The 14,725-nt window shown below is 42.4% G+C and overlaps 1 protein-coding gene across 18 annotated transcripts in view, besides 7 other annotated features; it reads right to left on the bottom strand.

Moving 5' to 3' along the window:
- Nucleotides 1-12,569, bottom strand: part of LRCH3 (leucine rich repeats and calponin homology domain containing 3) — a 97,211-nt gene extending 84,642 nt beyond the window's left edge. For 11 of the 18 annotated variants that reach the window (XR_007095758.1, XR_007095759.1, XR_007095760.1 and 8 more), the window contains exon 1: nucleotides 12,255-12,569. Coding sequence is in view for 14 of the 18 variants with exons in the window: in NM_001363887.1 (NP_001350816.1) it covers nucleotides 12,255-12,516 (262 nt within the window). In the remaining 4 variants the exon portion in view is untranslated. The remainder of the gene's footprint in view (nucleotides 1-12,254) is intronic. The other 7 variants (NR_158582.1, NM_001365715.1, NM_001365716.1 and 4 more) reach the window with 1 other exon arrangement.
- Nucleotides 1,536-1,615: an enhancer, noted in NCBI's record as "active region_21120". NCBI's record gives its function as "activates an Ori minimal core promoter by ATAC-STARR-seq in GM12878 lymphoblastoid cells {active_cell/tissue: GM12878}" and the evidence as "EXISTENCE:reporter gene assay evidence [ECO:0000049][PMID:35858748]".
- Nucleotides 4,702-4,751: an enhancer, noted in NCBI's record as "active region_21119". NCBI's record gives its function as "activates an Ori minimal core promoter by ATAC-STARR-seq in GM12878 lymphoblastoid cells {active_cell/tissue: GM12878}" and the evidence as "EXISTENCE:reporter gene assay evidence [ECO:0000049][PMID:35858748]".
- Nucleotides 9,634-9,713: an enhancer, noted in NCBI's record as "active region_21118". NCBI's record gives its function as "activates an Ori minimal core promoter by ATAC-STARR-seq in GM12878 lymphoblastoid cells {active_cell/tissue: GM12878}" and the evidence as "EXISTENCE:reporter gene assay evidence [ECO:0000049][PMID:35858748]".
- Nucleotides 12,044-12,313: a silencer, noted in NCBI's record as "silent region_15093". NCBI's record gives its function as "represses an Ori minimal core promoter by ATAC-STARR-seq in GM12878 lymphoblastoid cells {active_cell/tissue: GM12878}" and the evidence as "EXISTENCE:reporter gene assay evidence [ECO:0000049][PMID:35858748]".
- Nucleotides 12,044-12,881: a biological region, named in NCBI's record as "H3K27ac hESC enhancer GRCh37_chr3:197517785-197518499".
- Nucleotides 12,167-12,881: an enhancer, noted in NCBI's record as "H3K27ac hESC enhancer chr3:197517785-197518499 (GRCh37/hg19 assembly coordinates)". NCBI's record gives its function as "activates a minimal SCP1, AML or CMV promoter by ChIP-STARR-seq in primed H9 embryonic stem cells {active_cell/tissue: H9 hESC(primed)}" and the evidence as "EXISTENCE:reporter gene assay evidence [ECO:0000049][PMID:30033119]".
- Nucleotides 12,354-12,553: an enhancer, noted in NCBI's record as "active region_21117". NCBI's record gives its function as "activates an Ori minimal core promoter by ATAC-STARR-seq in GM12878 lymphoblastoid cells {active_cell/tissue: GM12878}" and the evidence as "EXISTENCE:reporter gene assay evidence [ECO:0000049][PMID:35858748]".

The following is a 14,725-nucleotide window of genomic DNA, read 5'->3' as shown; positions in this document are numbered from 1 at the left end:
ATGAGGCCTGCAATTCTGCATTTCTCACAAGGTCCTGCGAACCTTCTATGGCATGCCATAGAACCAGATGTGAAAAACCACTATCCTCCAAAATAACTTTTAGAGTAAAGGAGCAAATTCTTTTTTTTTTTTTAAACAGTCTCACTCTGTGGCCTAAGCTAGAGTGCAGTGGTGCAATCTCAGCTCACTGCAACCTCCACCTCCCAGGTTCAAGTGATTCTCATGCCTCAGCCTCCCAAGTAGCTGGGATTACAGGCGCAAATCACCACACCTGGCTAAAGTAGCAAATTCTAAGGAAATGTTTTTCAGGTGGTTCTTAACTACCTGCACCTAGTACCATCAGGGTGCTTGTTAAAAATGTAGTTTAATGGACTCCACCCCGGATCTCCTGAATCTCTCTAGTAATCTCACCCAGGGATGCGTATTTTTTAAAAAGAGCCCCAGGTGATTCTATGCACAACACTAAAGCCTGAGAATCAATATGCTACAGCTTGTCACTTGATAATAGATGGCCAGAAGCCACAAATTTTATAGGCTAAAAGAAGCATGACCACATTATCTGACTAAGATTTTCCTTACACAAGTGAGACATATAACTACCAAAGTTGAAAACACTGGATAAACAGAGAAAGCCTCCTTCACTACATATAAGGTTTAACATTTTTATTCCTTTTATTATAATCAATGAATCCACTGTGAAAGTTCCCAAATACCTAGAAGTTGACATTTATTTTGAGAAAACAACTCTTAGCACATGTAACATCATTTCTCTTATCCTCTATGACACCAATTTTAAAAGTTCTGAATGCTTGACTTTTTCACACCAAAGAGAAGCATACTCACTAGTATTATCCTTGAGAATGTTCTGATTGAAACTCCCAGGGTCCCCACTGAAACCAGTTACTTTATACAGCAGGCAGGTGTCACTGTTCCAAAGCTATGAAAGTGAACAGGCTCTCAATCACTTCTTTTCGCTTTATCATTCACCCATCCATTCATTCAACAAATACTCAAAAGTTATACGCCAACAAACTGGATAACTCAGAAGAAACGCATAAATTCCTAGGAACATAGAACCTCCCGAGATTGAATCATGAAGAAACAGAAAATCTGAACAGATTAATGAGTAAGGATTGAATCAGTAAGTCTCTCACCAAAGAAAAGCCATGGTTTCACTGCTGAATTCTACCAAACATATGAAGAACTAATAACAATCCTTCTCGAACTCTTAAAAAAACTAAAGAGAAGGGAATACTTCCAAACGCATTTTACGAGGCCAGCATTACCCTGATACCAAAGCTGGACACAAAAAATAAAATTACAAGCCACTATCACTGATGAACATACATGGAAAAATCTTCAACAAAATATAACACAGCAAGAAGGCCCTCACTAGATGGCAGCACCTAGATCTTGGTCTTTCCAACCTCCAAAATTGTGAGCCAACAAATTTCTACTCATAAATTAATCAGTCTGTGTGTGGTATGCTGTTATAGCAGCACAAAATGGACAAAGACACCACTCTAATTCCTGGAACTGTGAATACAGGATCTCATACCCTGAGTATCTTCCTTATGTGGAAGAGGGGATTTTGCTGATGTAATGAAGTCTACTAATCAGTTGACTTTAGAATTAATCAAAAGAGGCACAATCTTGGTAAACCCAGTCTCATCACATCAACCCTCTGGATAGCAGCAGCAGAGGAAGTCTGAGAAACTGGAAGCACGAGAAGTGTTTGATGACACACCAATGCTGGCTTGAGGATGGAGGGGGCCATGTTGTAAGAATACAAGTGGCATCCAGGACCTGAGAGTGGCCTGAGGCTGACAACCAGAAAGGAAATAAGAACCTCAGTTTTATAACCACAAAGACTGAATTCTGCCAAAACTCGAATGAACTTGTAAGCAAACTGTTCCCCAAAGCCTCCAGATAAAAGCCCATCCTGACAACACGTTAATTTCAGTCTTGTGAAACCTTGAGTTCAGCTGAGTCCAGACTCCTAACCTATAGAACTATAGTAAATGGATGCTATTTTAAGCTGCTAAATTTGTAATAATTTGCTATTTAGCAACAGAAAACTAATATACCTCCTTCAAGAAGCTGCCAATCTAGTAGAAGAAAAGATGATATTGTTTACTGTGACAATAAAAAAATGTGCACAGGGTATTAAGAAAACAATAAGTGCCTAACTGGGGAGGAGGGATGGTAGAGAGAAAGGAAGAGAATTTAAAAAGAGATGGCCAAAAAGAAGAGGTGCCATGAGAAATACATGAGTTAACAATGAAGAAGTTAGCCTCAACAAAAGTCGAACATAAATGAAGAAAAGTGAATAAATCATAAACATACAATTCAATTTTTTAAAAGTATAACATGAACAACCATATAATCACCACCAAGGTCATGAAACAGAGTATTTCCAATACTTCAGAAATATATCCCTGACTCCCAACCCAAAGCTCCCTTTCCTAATCACAGCTTTTTCCTTCTCCCCTAGAGGTAACCATTATCCTGATTTTTATGGCAATTATTTCCTTTTCTTTGTACTTTTAGCACTTATATTTTTTGTTTTTGAACTTTACTAAATATATTTGCACCGTATATATTATGCTTCACACTTCACTTTCTCGACATTATGTTTCTAAGGTTCATTCCTGCAACTGCATATAGTTATAGCTCATCCATTTTCTTGTTTTTTTTTTTGAGATGGAGTCTCACTCTGTTGCCCAGGCTGGAGTGCTGTGGTGTGATCTCAGCTCACTGCAACCTCTGCCTCCCAAGTTCAAGCGATTCTCCTGCCTCAGCCTCCTGAGTAGCTAAAATTACAGGCGCCCGCCACCACACCCGGCTAATTTTTTGTATTTTTAGTAGAGACGGGGTTTCACCATGTTGGTCAGGCTGGTCTCGAACTCCTGACCTTGTGATCCACCCACCTTAAACTCCCAAAGTGCTGGGATTATAGGTGTGAGCCACCGCACTTGGCCAGCTCATTTTCACACAATTGATTTATCCATTCTACTGGTGATCATCACTTAAGTTGTTTCTATTTTGTCAAATATGAATAATGCTATGGACAGTCTTATCATACTATATATCCTGGTATACATACACACAACTTTCTCTGAGAGATTTATCTCAAGAGTGGAATTTCTGAGTCACAGAATATGTGTATTTTAAACCTTCCTGGATCGTTCCAGAGCATTTTCAAAGTTGAGGCACCAATTCACACTCCCACAAGCTCCCACAGCATCGTATGAGTGTCTCCACTGCTCCACGTTCTTTCCAGTACTTGGAATCATCAACTTGTAAAGTAGTACCCACTGTGGTTTTATTTTTCAATCTCTTGATTACTGATGAGGTTCAGCACCTTTTCAAACATTTATTGGCCACTTGGAATTCCTCTTTAGTAAAGTACTAGTTCAAGTGTTTTCTCAGTTTTCTCCTGGGTTGTCTTTTTCTTACTTGTGTATAGACATTCTTAAATATTCTGGATCTAATCTGTTGCATTTATTGGAAATCTTAAGAAGACTGTGGCTTACCTTCCCACTCTCTATGATATGAAAATCATTTTTAAAAAACTGTGGGGTTTTTTTTTTTGAGACAGTCTCACTCTGTCGCCTAGGCTGGAGTGGAGTATAGTGGTGCGATCAGCGTGATCTTGGCTCATTGCAACCTCCACCACCGGGGTTCAAGCAATTCTCCTGCCTCAGCCTCCCGAGTAGCTGGGATTACAAACACCTGCCAGCACGCCTGGCTAATTTTTTTTTTTTTTGTAGTTTTAGTAGAGACAGGGTTTCACCATCATGGCCAGGCTCGTCTTGAACTCCTGACCTCATGATCCACCTGCCTCGGCCTCCCAAAGTGCTGGGATTACAGGCATGAGCCACTGCACCCGGCCTGTTCTTTTGTTTTTTGTTTTTGTTTTGAGAGCGAGTCTCACTCTGCTGCCCAGGCTGGAGTGCAGTGACGTGATCTCGGCTCACTGCAACTTCTGCCTCCCGGGATAAGCAATTCCCCTGCCTCAGCCTCCCGAGTAGCTGAAGCTGGGATTACAGGCGCGTGCCACCACAGCCAGCTAATTTTTTGTATTTTTAGTAGAGACGGGGTTTCGCCATGTTGGTCAGGTTGGTCTCAAACTCCTGATCTCAGGTGATCCACCCATCTTGACCTCACAAAGTGCTGGGATTACAGGCATGAGCCACCGCGCCTAGCCAAAAACCTGTTTTTAATGGGAAAATCTATTACCCAGTTTTTAAATAAGAAATCAGTTAAACCAGTTTAAATCCAAGGTTTAAGACTTCCTTCAAACAATAAAAATTTAGAAATTGTGAAGAGCAAAGAAGAAAGTTAAAAGTGAATAAGGAAATGCTTTACATTTTTACTACTAGTTTGATTCTAAAATTAGTCACACTGCATTTGATATTGCTGGCTGCTTCAGGAATTCAAAATAATATTCCTTTGTGTGAATTACCACATTGACCATACATTTTTCCCAAGCGCACCTGGGATATTTTACAGAGGAACTGGAAAGAACAAGAAACATGTATATAACCACACCACTTAAAGTCATACTTGATGTTCTAACATGAAGTAACGTTAACCATCCAGCTCCCAAATATAGCCACTGTAAAAGGAACTGGAACCTGGGAACTCCTCAGCCCCAGCACTGCTGTCACTCCCGTACTCTCAAAACTGGTTCAGTGGTCCTCTATGGTTCATCTTCTCACCTCCCCTAAAGAAACCATCCTACTACCTCCCCTTCCCTTCTAAGACCAATCTCAGGGGAGTCTAACGTACTGTCTAACCTAACTTCCTGCAGTGATGAGAGAGTTCTATTATCTGTGCTGTCCAGTATGACAGAGAGGAGGTTGGTCCAAGGTGCTGTCCAAAATGACATATGTGGCTACTGAGCACTTGAAATGTGGCTAGTGCAAATGAAGAACCAAGTTTTAAATTTCTATTTTAATAACCACTTACGGCTAGTTGCTACCATACTACACAGTACAGTTCTAGAAAAATTCATAGTGCATATACTGTGACTGTTACAAAATAGACATAAACAAGGATCCAAGAAAAACACAATCTCAAATTAAGACCTGGTACTCTAGTCCGTATTTCCAAGACTAATGAAACCATAATTTTGTGAGTTACAGACTGCCTCCTTGGAAAATTAAATGGCATTTTAGCAGTCCTCATTCTTCTTACCTAGAAAGTATTCATTTCTTGAAAATTTTAATTCTCATAGCTCCAATGACACTGCATTACTTTGGCTCACCCGCCACATGTCAATGTTTCCTTTTTCTGTGTGTGATTGTAGTCCACCTGCCCACAGCATCCTGCTCTCACCTGTAGGCTTTACACCAATGGTGAGTCTTTGCTTTCTCATTTTCTGTATTTCATTCAAGAGTTTTCTTCAAGCTTCAGCTATGACTCTTATTTGCCTTGTGTAAAACAGTATCACCTCACTATACAACGTTAAGAATATCATTTAATCTGAGATTGCTTCTCTCTCATTTATTTATTTATTTATTTTTTTTGAGACAGGGTCTCACTCTGTTGCCCATACTGGAGAGCAGTGGTGCGACCTCCGCTCACTGCACCCTCAATCTCCCAGACTCAAGCGATTCTCCCACCTCAGCTTCCCAAGCAGCTGGGACTACAGATGCATTCCACCACAACTGTCTAATTTTTGTATTTTTTTAAGAGACGAGGTTTGCGATGTTGCCCAGGCTGGTCTCCATCTCCTGGGCTCAAGTGATCCACTCGCCTCAGCCTCCTAAAGTGTTAAAGTGCTAGGGTTACAGGCGTGAGCCACTGCACCCAGCTTCAGATTGCTTCTCATTTGTGAAATAACTTAGAAGGTCACTATGGTTCCTTCTGGTTTTAGGATTTTTCTGGTTTTGTTTTTTTTTTTGTTTTTTTTGTTTTTTTTTTTTTTGAGATGGAGTCTCGCTCTGTTGCCAGTGCTGGGGTGCAGAGGCGCCATCTCAGCTCACTGCAACCTCCACCTCCCCGGCACAAGCGATTCCCCTGCCTGTCTCCTGAGTAGCTGGGATTATAGGCGCCTGCCAATGGCACCCAGCTATTTTTTGTATTTTTAGTAGAGACGGGGTTTCACCGTGTTGGGCAGACTGGTCTCAAACTCCTCACCTCAGGTGATCCACCTGCCTCGGCCTCCCAAAGTGCTGGGATTACAGGCGTGAGCCACTGCGCCCGGCCTAGTTTTAGGATTCTATGAATTCTAGTACAGGCCTAGTTACTGAATCTTTTTTCTGTTTCTGTTTTTTCCCAGACTGATTCCTCTTTCCACCTTTTAAAATGCTGGTATCTCCCTGAGTTGACAGTGCCTACCTTTTCCATTCTCTACGTCCTTCCTCCAAGAATCTTATAAACTCTCACTATGACTCTCTTGAATTTATTCCATAGCCTTAATTAACTTCACTCTACATCTTTTTTTTTTTTTTTTTTTTGAGATGGAGTTTTGCTCGTTGCCCAGTCTGGAGTGCAATGGCGTGATCTCAGCTCACTGCAACCTCCACTTCCAGGGTTCAAGAAATTCTCCTGCCTCAGCCTCCCAAGTAGCTGCGATTACAGCCATGCACCACCACGCCCAGCTAATTTTTTATATTTTTAATAGAGATGGGGTTTCACCATGTTGGCCAGGCTGGTCTTGAACTCCTGACATCGGGTGATCTGCCCGCCTCGGCCCCCCAAAGTGCTGCGATTACAGGCGTGTGCTACCATGCCCAGCAAATTTTTTTGTATTTTTAGTAGAGACAGGGTTTCACCATGTTGGCCAGGCTGGTCTTGAACTCCTGATCTCGTGATCCACCCACCTCAGCCTCCTAAAGTGTCACTCTACATTCTAAAGCTCTAGTTTCTATTTGTTTCTATTTGTCCCACATGATTCACTAGATGTGCTACCAACCCTTCAAAGATATTGGGCAAACCAAAGAAATTACAGGAAACCAACTTGTCGGTATAATTATTGATCAATAACACAAATTTTAGGGTCAAATGTATCAGAAATTGAATCCTAGTTTTGTCACTTATTAGCTGGGAGACCTTGATCAAATTATTTAATCTCCTGAGCCTCAATTTTCTCACACGTAAAATGGGGTCAAAAATAGTATTTACAACTTACTATGGTTGTTTTTGTTCATGTTATATATAGACACACACAGCTTAGCACAATACCTGGAATATGTTAAGACCTCAATAAATGTTAGCTACTATTATAAGCAATAGCATTACCATCTTTCTAGTCTTACAGGTTTAACAGTGATCTTGGACTCCTATCCTTTTTTAAATAAATTCAATCAGCATTTGTACATTTTCATTGTCCAGTATGATCTCAGTGTACCAGGATTTCATTCCCTCACAGCTTTCTGTTATGCAGCTACCCAACCAGATTACTAGATTTAAAAATATTCGTAAGGCCTCATTTTTGTTTCCTCTACATTACCCAGCATAATGCCTAAAACATAGTAGTTGTGCTATTATTGCACAATTCAAACAATCCTTCCACCCGTCTATCTCCCCATTAGATCCCTTGAGTTCTGTCAGGGCAGGGAGTGTCTTGGTCCTCTTCATACACCAATAACTGCCGAAGTCCTTTAGTCAATAAATGTCTGTTGAATGAATGCTGACCTCTAAAGCTATTGGCTATCTAGCTTCCTCATATACGAAAGGCAGCTCTTATATTCTCTAATCCAATAATTTATTTTGACCAAATTTGTCTCACCACAATATCATCACGGGTAGTTTCACTGTATTAGTCAGGACCTTTTTATCATCAAAAAATTCTGGCCGGGTGCGGTGGGTCACACCTGTAATCCCAGCACTTTGAGAAGCCAAGGCGGGCGGATCACAAGGTCAGGAGATTGAGACCAGCCTGGCCAATATGGTGAAACCCCATCTCTACTAAATATATAAAAATTAGCCAGGCGTGGTGGTGGGCGCCTGTAGTCCCAGCTACTCAGGAGGCTGAGGCAGGAAAATCACTTGAACCCAGGAGAAAGAAGTTGCAGTGAGCCGAGATCATGCCACTGCACTCCAGCCTGGGTGACAGAGCGAGACTCCATCTCAAAAAAAAAAAAAAAAAAAAAAAACAACAACTTTTTTACTCACCTTAAGCAGAAAGAAGAATTTATTAGCTCACATAATTTGAAAGTACAGAGATAGCACTGACTTTAGGCATGGCGGCTGACCCAAAGGTACAAACACTGCCATCAGAACTTCCATCTTTTGGCTCTGCTTCCCACTTATTGGTAACTTCCAGGCTAACATCCTATTGTCTCAGCAACCCCAGGGCTCAAAGCATGCCTCTTTCTCAATAGTTCAACAAAAAATTCAGTTACTCATGTGTGCTGATTGCAAAATGGGCCCACCTCTGAACAATCACTATGGCCAGAGCAATGGACTATATACTGACTGACCATTAGCTAGGCCTGAGTCACTGGCATACCCTATGCCAGGGTGGGGTTCATATAACTGAGAGGGGTGGTTCCCTAGGAAAATTGGAGTACTATTACCAGAAGGGACTGAATAATGGACTGGCAAAATTAACTGATGTCCCTTATACTCTTAACATTTTTTGCGTGCTGTCCACCACTGCCTAAAATAGCTTTCCTTCTTGTTTCTGCTTGCCCAAATCCAAGTTATATCCTTTCTGCTTCAAGAAGTCTTCTGTGATGTCTTCTAAGACTTTCCTTGTCCACTGGATCAAGTCACCCATTCCCAAATAAATATTCCCCTTTTCCAAAAGATTAATATTTTTTTTTCTTTTTTTTTTAAGACAGCACTTACTCTGTCACCCAGGCTGGAGTGCAGTGGCACAATCTCAGCTCACTGCAACCTCCGCCTCCTGGGTTCAAGCGAGTCTCGTGCCTCACCCTCTCAAGTAGTTGGGATTACAGGCACCCGCCATTACACCTGGCTAATTTTTGTATTTTTAGTTGAGACCGGGTTTCACCATGTTAGCCAAGCTGGTCTGGAACTTCCGATCTCAGGTGATCTGCCCGCCCTGGCCTCCCAAAGTGCTGGGATTATAGGCGAGAGCCACCAGGCCCAGCCAGATTAACCTTTCAAAATAAACAGCACAGAAAGTCCCAAGAAAACGTTCCCAATAAGTTCAAAATCATGTCTAATTATAAATATGGGCAATATATGCTGTTCCCTAGGATACGAATTTGAAGGACAACAGCTCTACCATGTACATGCTACACATTATGAAAAAACAGTATGCAAGGCAACTTTTATATATTAGCATTCAACTAATTTTACTTGGCTTTAAATTTTCTATAAGGTCTAAGCATACCTAATAACTACCATAAGTTGGTTCCAAATTAATCAAAGTACCTGCCATAAAAACAGACTATGGCTTTTGGAGTCACCTCAAACTAGACTAAACTCCTGGCTAATACCGTCTCCTCTGTCCTTTAGCCACAGATCTTTGAGCAAATTAGTGAACATCTCTAAATGCTGGTTTCCACCATCTGTAAAAACAGGAACAGCAACACCTATTTCTATATGAAGAGGTTGCATGGTACAGTGGAAAGAACAGAGTTAGATGAACCTGGGCCAAAATCCTACCACTGATACTACATAGTGGTGATAGCTATAACCTGGGCCAAAATCCTACCAGTGATACTATATAGTGGTGATAGCTATAACCTGGGCCAAAATCCTACCAGTGATACTATATAGTGGTGATAGCCATATGACTTTCTCTAGGTGATCCCTCACATGTAAAGTGGGGATAGTATTTAATCCACAAATTATTGTGTGCATTTAACAAGGCAGTATATTTCAAAATATCTAACACGGTGAATTACAAATAGTGAACACTCAATAAATGATGTCATTGGCATTAAATTATCTGTTTAAAACAGAGACTGGGTAACGAGCAAGGTCTGCCAAAGATTTTTTTTTATATTTCATAAGTGATATTACTACATGTTAGAAATGAATCTAGTCTAATAGCTTATAAAATACCTTGTAATCTTTTTATTTTCTTTTTACACGTTTTGACCAGATGAAAAATCAACCAACAAAAAATGTGGTTTCTATACAAAACTATTAAAGTGTAGGCAACACCATACTTAAAAACTCAGAGCACAGTAAGGAAAAACCTCTTTGGTATTACTTATTATTCTTCATAAATGCACTTGGATTTTCTTAGTCAATAAAATATTTAAGGACTCAACACGGTGCTCCTAGACCTACTGAAAAGCAGGTGAGAAAATGAGCTAGACAGACTCCTGTAATCAACTTGTTCTTTAGCTTCAGGCTTGATGTAGTAACAATGAAATGACTCACACCAATATGAAATCACTATACCATATAGCCATCTCCTAAACAGAAGCAGGAAATCTGAGGTGTGAATGATAATTTTACATGCCGTCTACCAGAACACACACAAAAGGAAAGTGGCTGCTCATATTTACCTTAGCAAGAAACTTTAAATCACTAAAAAATATTCAGTTCAACTGTTTCCAAAAAGAGATTAAATAAGCAGGCATTTAATTTCTTCTATTTTAAACTACAGCAAAAGTTTCTTTGGAAAGAATCGCTTCTTTAGTTTAACAGTTCTGTTTATTTTTCCAAAATGAGTGAATCATATGTAATACTTATAAATTTTTAATGACTGCAAAGCATAGAAAATGTGCTCAATCTAAGATTTTAAAATAAAATAAGACACCAAGTACTGCCAGCCGCAGTGGCTCACGCCTGTAATCTCAACCTTTTGTAAGGCCGAGGTCGGCGGATAGCTTGAGCCCAGGAGTTGGAGACCAGCCTGGGCAACATAGCAAAACCCCGTCTCTACAAAAAAATACAAAATATTGGCCGGACGCGGTGGCTCACGCCTGTAATCCCAGCACTTTGGGAGGCCGAGGCGGGCGAATCACCTGAGGTCAGGAGTTCGAGACCTGCCTGGCCAACATGGTGAAATCCCGTCTCTAATAAAAATCCAAAAATTAGCCGGGTGTGGTGGCGGGCGCCTGTAGTCCCAGCTACTCGGGAGGCTGAGGTGGGAGGATCACCTGAGCCTGGGAGGCAGAGGTTGCAATGAGCAGAGATTGTGTCATTCCACTCCAGCCTGGGAGACAAGAGCGAGATACCGTCTCGAAAAAATATATATATATTTTATATATAATATTTATATGTATATTATATATATATGTATATTTTATATATATATATATATATATATATATAAAATTAGCTGGGCGTGGTGGCGGCTGCCTGTAGTCCCAGCTACTCAGGAGGCTGAGGTGGGAGGATCACCTGAGCCCGGGAGGTCGAGGCTGCAGTGAGCAGTGATGACGGCACTGCAAACATGATGATGAACAACTCGGGCACCAGACACTGTTCGCCACAACTAAGAAAGCCAAATAATACCTACTTTCTTATTCTCTTTCCTGTGTTCGAAAACATACATAACACGAAGTAATGCTTTAAAAAGGAATAGCAAGTACAAATATGTTAGACTATCTTTTCTAAGTAGTTTGCTTCAACTTTTTTTTGGAGGACATGAGGAGTGGAAGAGGAAACTAATGGGAGTCGGAAAGTGGGCTCTAGTTATTTTTACAAGCGTATTTATTTTGTAAGTCAACTAGATGGAGGCGAAGAAAGACGTTCCAGCGTTCGGGTTCACTTCACACACACCCCAGCACTTCTTTGGGGTTCACTTTAAACACACACACACCCCAACACTTCTCTCGGGTTCACTTTAAACACACACACACCCCAACACTTCTTTCGGGTCCACTTTAAACACACGCTCCCCAACACTTCTTTCGAAAAAACTCCAGGGCTGAGACCGACCCTTCCTGACAATGCAGCTCGTCCAGACACCCCTGCTACTCTGATCTGTGAAGAGCTCGCGCTAACGTTCCCGTCTTAGCAGGTCCATTCGGCACCCCAAATCCGAAAGGGCCTGCAGAAACCGGGGCGGGGCAAGGGTCTACCTCCGCCGTGGCAGAAACTGATTTTCCTCAGAAAGCCTAAAAAATCATCCATCAATCACTCCGGCCCCCTTCCCCGAGAGATGCCGCCGCCCGCCGCCTCTCCCCAGGCTCTGGGTCTGGCGCAGGCCCGGAGGGCTGGCGCCGTCGGCTTCTCCCCGTTACCCGGGTCCGGACCCGGCGCCTACGGGACGAGCTGCTGTAACTCCCCCGCATCCGCCTCCCCCGGCCGGGGCGGCTCCCGGCGCCGGGTCTCCGACGGGCAGAGACGCCCCCCGCCCCGCTCACCCGCCCGGGTGGTGTCCGTCAGGTCGTGGTTGGCCGCTCCCCGGGGAAACTCCCTCAGTTTCCGGCCGCTCAGGCTCAGCACCCCAGTGACCGCCGCCTCCTCCAGGGCTCGATCGAGAGAGCGGCTCCACGAGCCCGGGCCAAAACCAGGGCCTGCCCCGGAGCTTGGGCCGCAGTGAACACCAGGGAGGTTACCTCCCGACGCTACCGTGCCAGAGTACTCGGCAGCCGCTGCCACAGCGACCAAGCCCGCGGCCGCCATTTCCCAGCCGACAACACTCGGGCCCGCCAGCTCAGCGCATGCGCGGCCGGACCGCTGGGTGGGCGGAGAAAGGGGCTCACGGACCGACCCCGGACGGTTCCCGTGATGGGCAGCACCGTGGTGCCCCCCGGCGCAGCCAGGCGCTTGCCCCCGCCCACATGATGCGCTTTTCAAGGGAAGTTAAAACGGACCTCACAAATCCAGAGCAGCCCCCTACTCTAACCTCCCAGGGGCATTTCTAAAATGCCTCTACAAAAACATCTTTCAGGCAACGCTCCGCATCAAAACTTCTCCGCCTTGCTCCCTCAGTAGTGGAGGAGTCGACTAAGCATTAAATTAAGAATTTTTTTTTTTTGAGACAGAGTCTCGCTCTGTCGCCCAGGCTGGAGTGCAGTGGCGCGATCTCGGCTCACTGCAACCTCTGCTTCCTGGGTTCAAGCTATTCTCCTGCCTCAGGCTCCCGAGTAGCTGGGACTACAGGCACGCACCACCACACCCGGTTAATTTTTGTATTTTTAGTAGAGACGGGGTTTCACCATGTTGGCCAGGATGGTCTCGATCTCCTGACCTCAAGTGATCCGCCCGCCTCTGCCTCCCAAAGTGCTGGGATTACAGGCGTGACCTACCGCGCCCGGCAAGGAATCTTTCTTAACACTGCTGCTGCAGAAACTTGGATGGTGAGAGGAGCGGACCCTCTGAGATACGACCTAAACCGTTTCCCAACTTCATTGTATTACCAGATGATCTAAATCAAGGTTTGGTGGACTTACTATGGTTGCTGGAGAGAAAACAAACAAACAAACGTGCTAATTGGGCTCAAAATTCTCATTAAAAACGTATTATTTTATATCATCCATCCCTTTTATAAAATAGCTTTTCTTAATGAAAATACAACAAATATCTTCAATAGTACTTGTACTTTTGGCAAGATTTTATTGTTGGATAAAGCAAGATTATAGTAGTATTAAAATCTAAAATGTTGGTCTGGAACCAAAATTGAGGAACAGAAAATGATCTCACTGTAATCTAAATGTGGGAATTAAAGGTAGAACCGAAGAGATGCTCTAAATTGAAACCACTCAAGAAATGAAAGAGTGGAAAATACTTCATTTAAAACCAATTAGACCTCACTTATATTGCAGCCAGTCTCTAGCATATTCTTCAGTCTGTTTTACTGAAGAAGCCATTTCTGCTATATGATGTAAATTTTACCAACAATTAATCAACTAGTTTTACTATGGGAAATAGAAGAGGCTGTCAGGTACAATCCTTTCCTAGAGGATCACAATCTAATTATGGAACCCAGACAGGCCCACAAAAAAGGGCTAAGAGTGATGGGGCTTACTTATGAGTCCAGAGAAAAGAAAGCTATATCATGGATAAATTCGGTTTTGAATTAAACCTGAAGGATTATAAAGTAGGACAAACTGGAAGGTGAGACTAGAAGATGGATCAGCATGAACACATCCAGATACGACTTAAAGTGGTAACATGTGGAGGATACGAAGGCCACAGATCAGAAAGTTCGTGTCAGAGAGCAAAAGAAAAATAAGGATGGAGAGATCCTCTCATTCAAGCCCCAACTCTTCAATGACACCTCAATTGGCATGAATTGCTAAATGCTAGAAGGTATAAAAATGTTTAATCCCAGTGCCAAAGTTGATTAGTAACAGCTGCCCAGAGAGCTGTTCTATAAACTCTCAATACATTCTAGTTACTTCAGCAACAAGTTCCATGATACATAACCATACATATGTTATGAGCTCATACATGTTATGAGCGTGGGTCACAATGGCAGGTGACGTATTTGTCATCCCCAGCAAATAACATTTATCCAATGCATATATAGCTTTTTGTTATCCTGGGCTTCCTAAAACTGTTATTCTTCGAAAGATATTAAGCTATTTAAGGGCAGTTTTTTTACTTTTTAGGGAGATTTCAACTACAATGACTGATTATCTATTCATATACTCCACACTAATGCTACAATGCTGTAGAATTAGTTGCCAGATGTACCTTTTCAAATGCACCATTGTCATCTGATTGCTTATTACCTTCCACATCTACACTAAATTCTGTCAAGTTCTCTGTAATAGGCCTCATTCCTATCTATATGTATGAATACATCCCATTGTAATAGCAACATACTATGCTAGCCCTGAACTGACCAAGCTTATAGATTGATGCTTGAATATTCAACAAGATTTTA

Source organism: Homo sapiens, chromosome 3 (assembly GCF_000001405.40).
Source record: "Homo sapiens chromosome 3, GRCh38.p14 Primary Assembly".
NCBI lineage: Eukaryota > Metazoa > Chordata > Mammalia > Primates > Hominidae > Homo > Homo sapiens.
The sequence above is the reverse complement of the archived record's forward strand: the minus strand, read 5'-3'. Positions and strand labels throughout refer to the sequence as shown.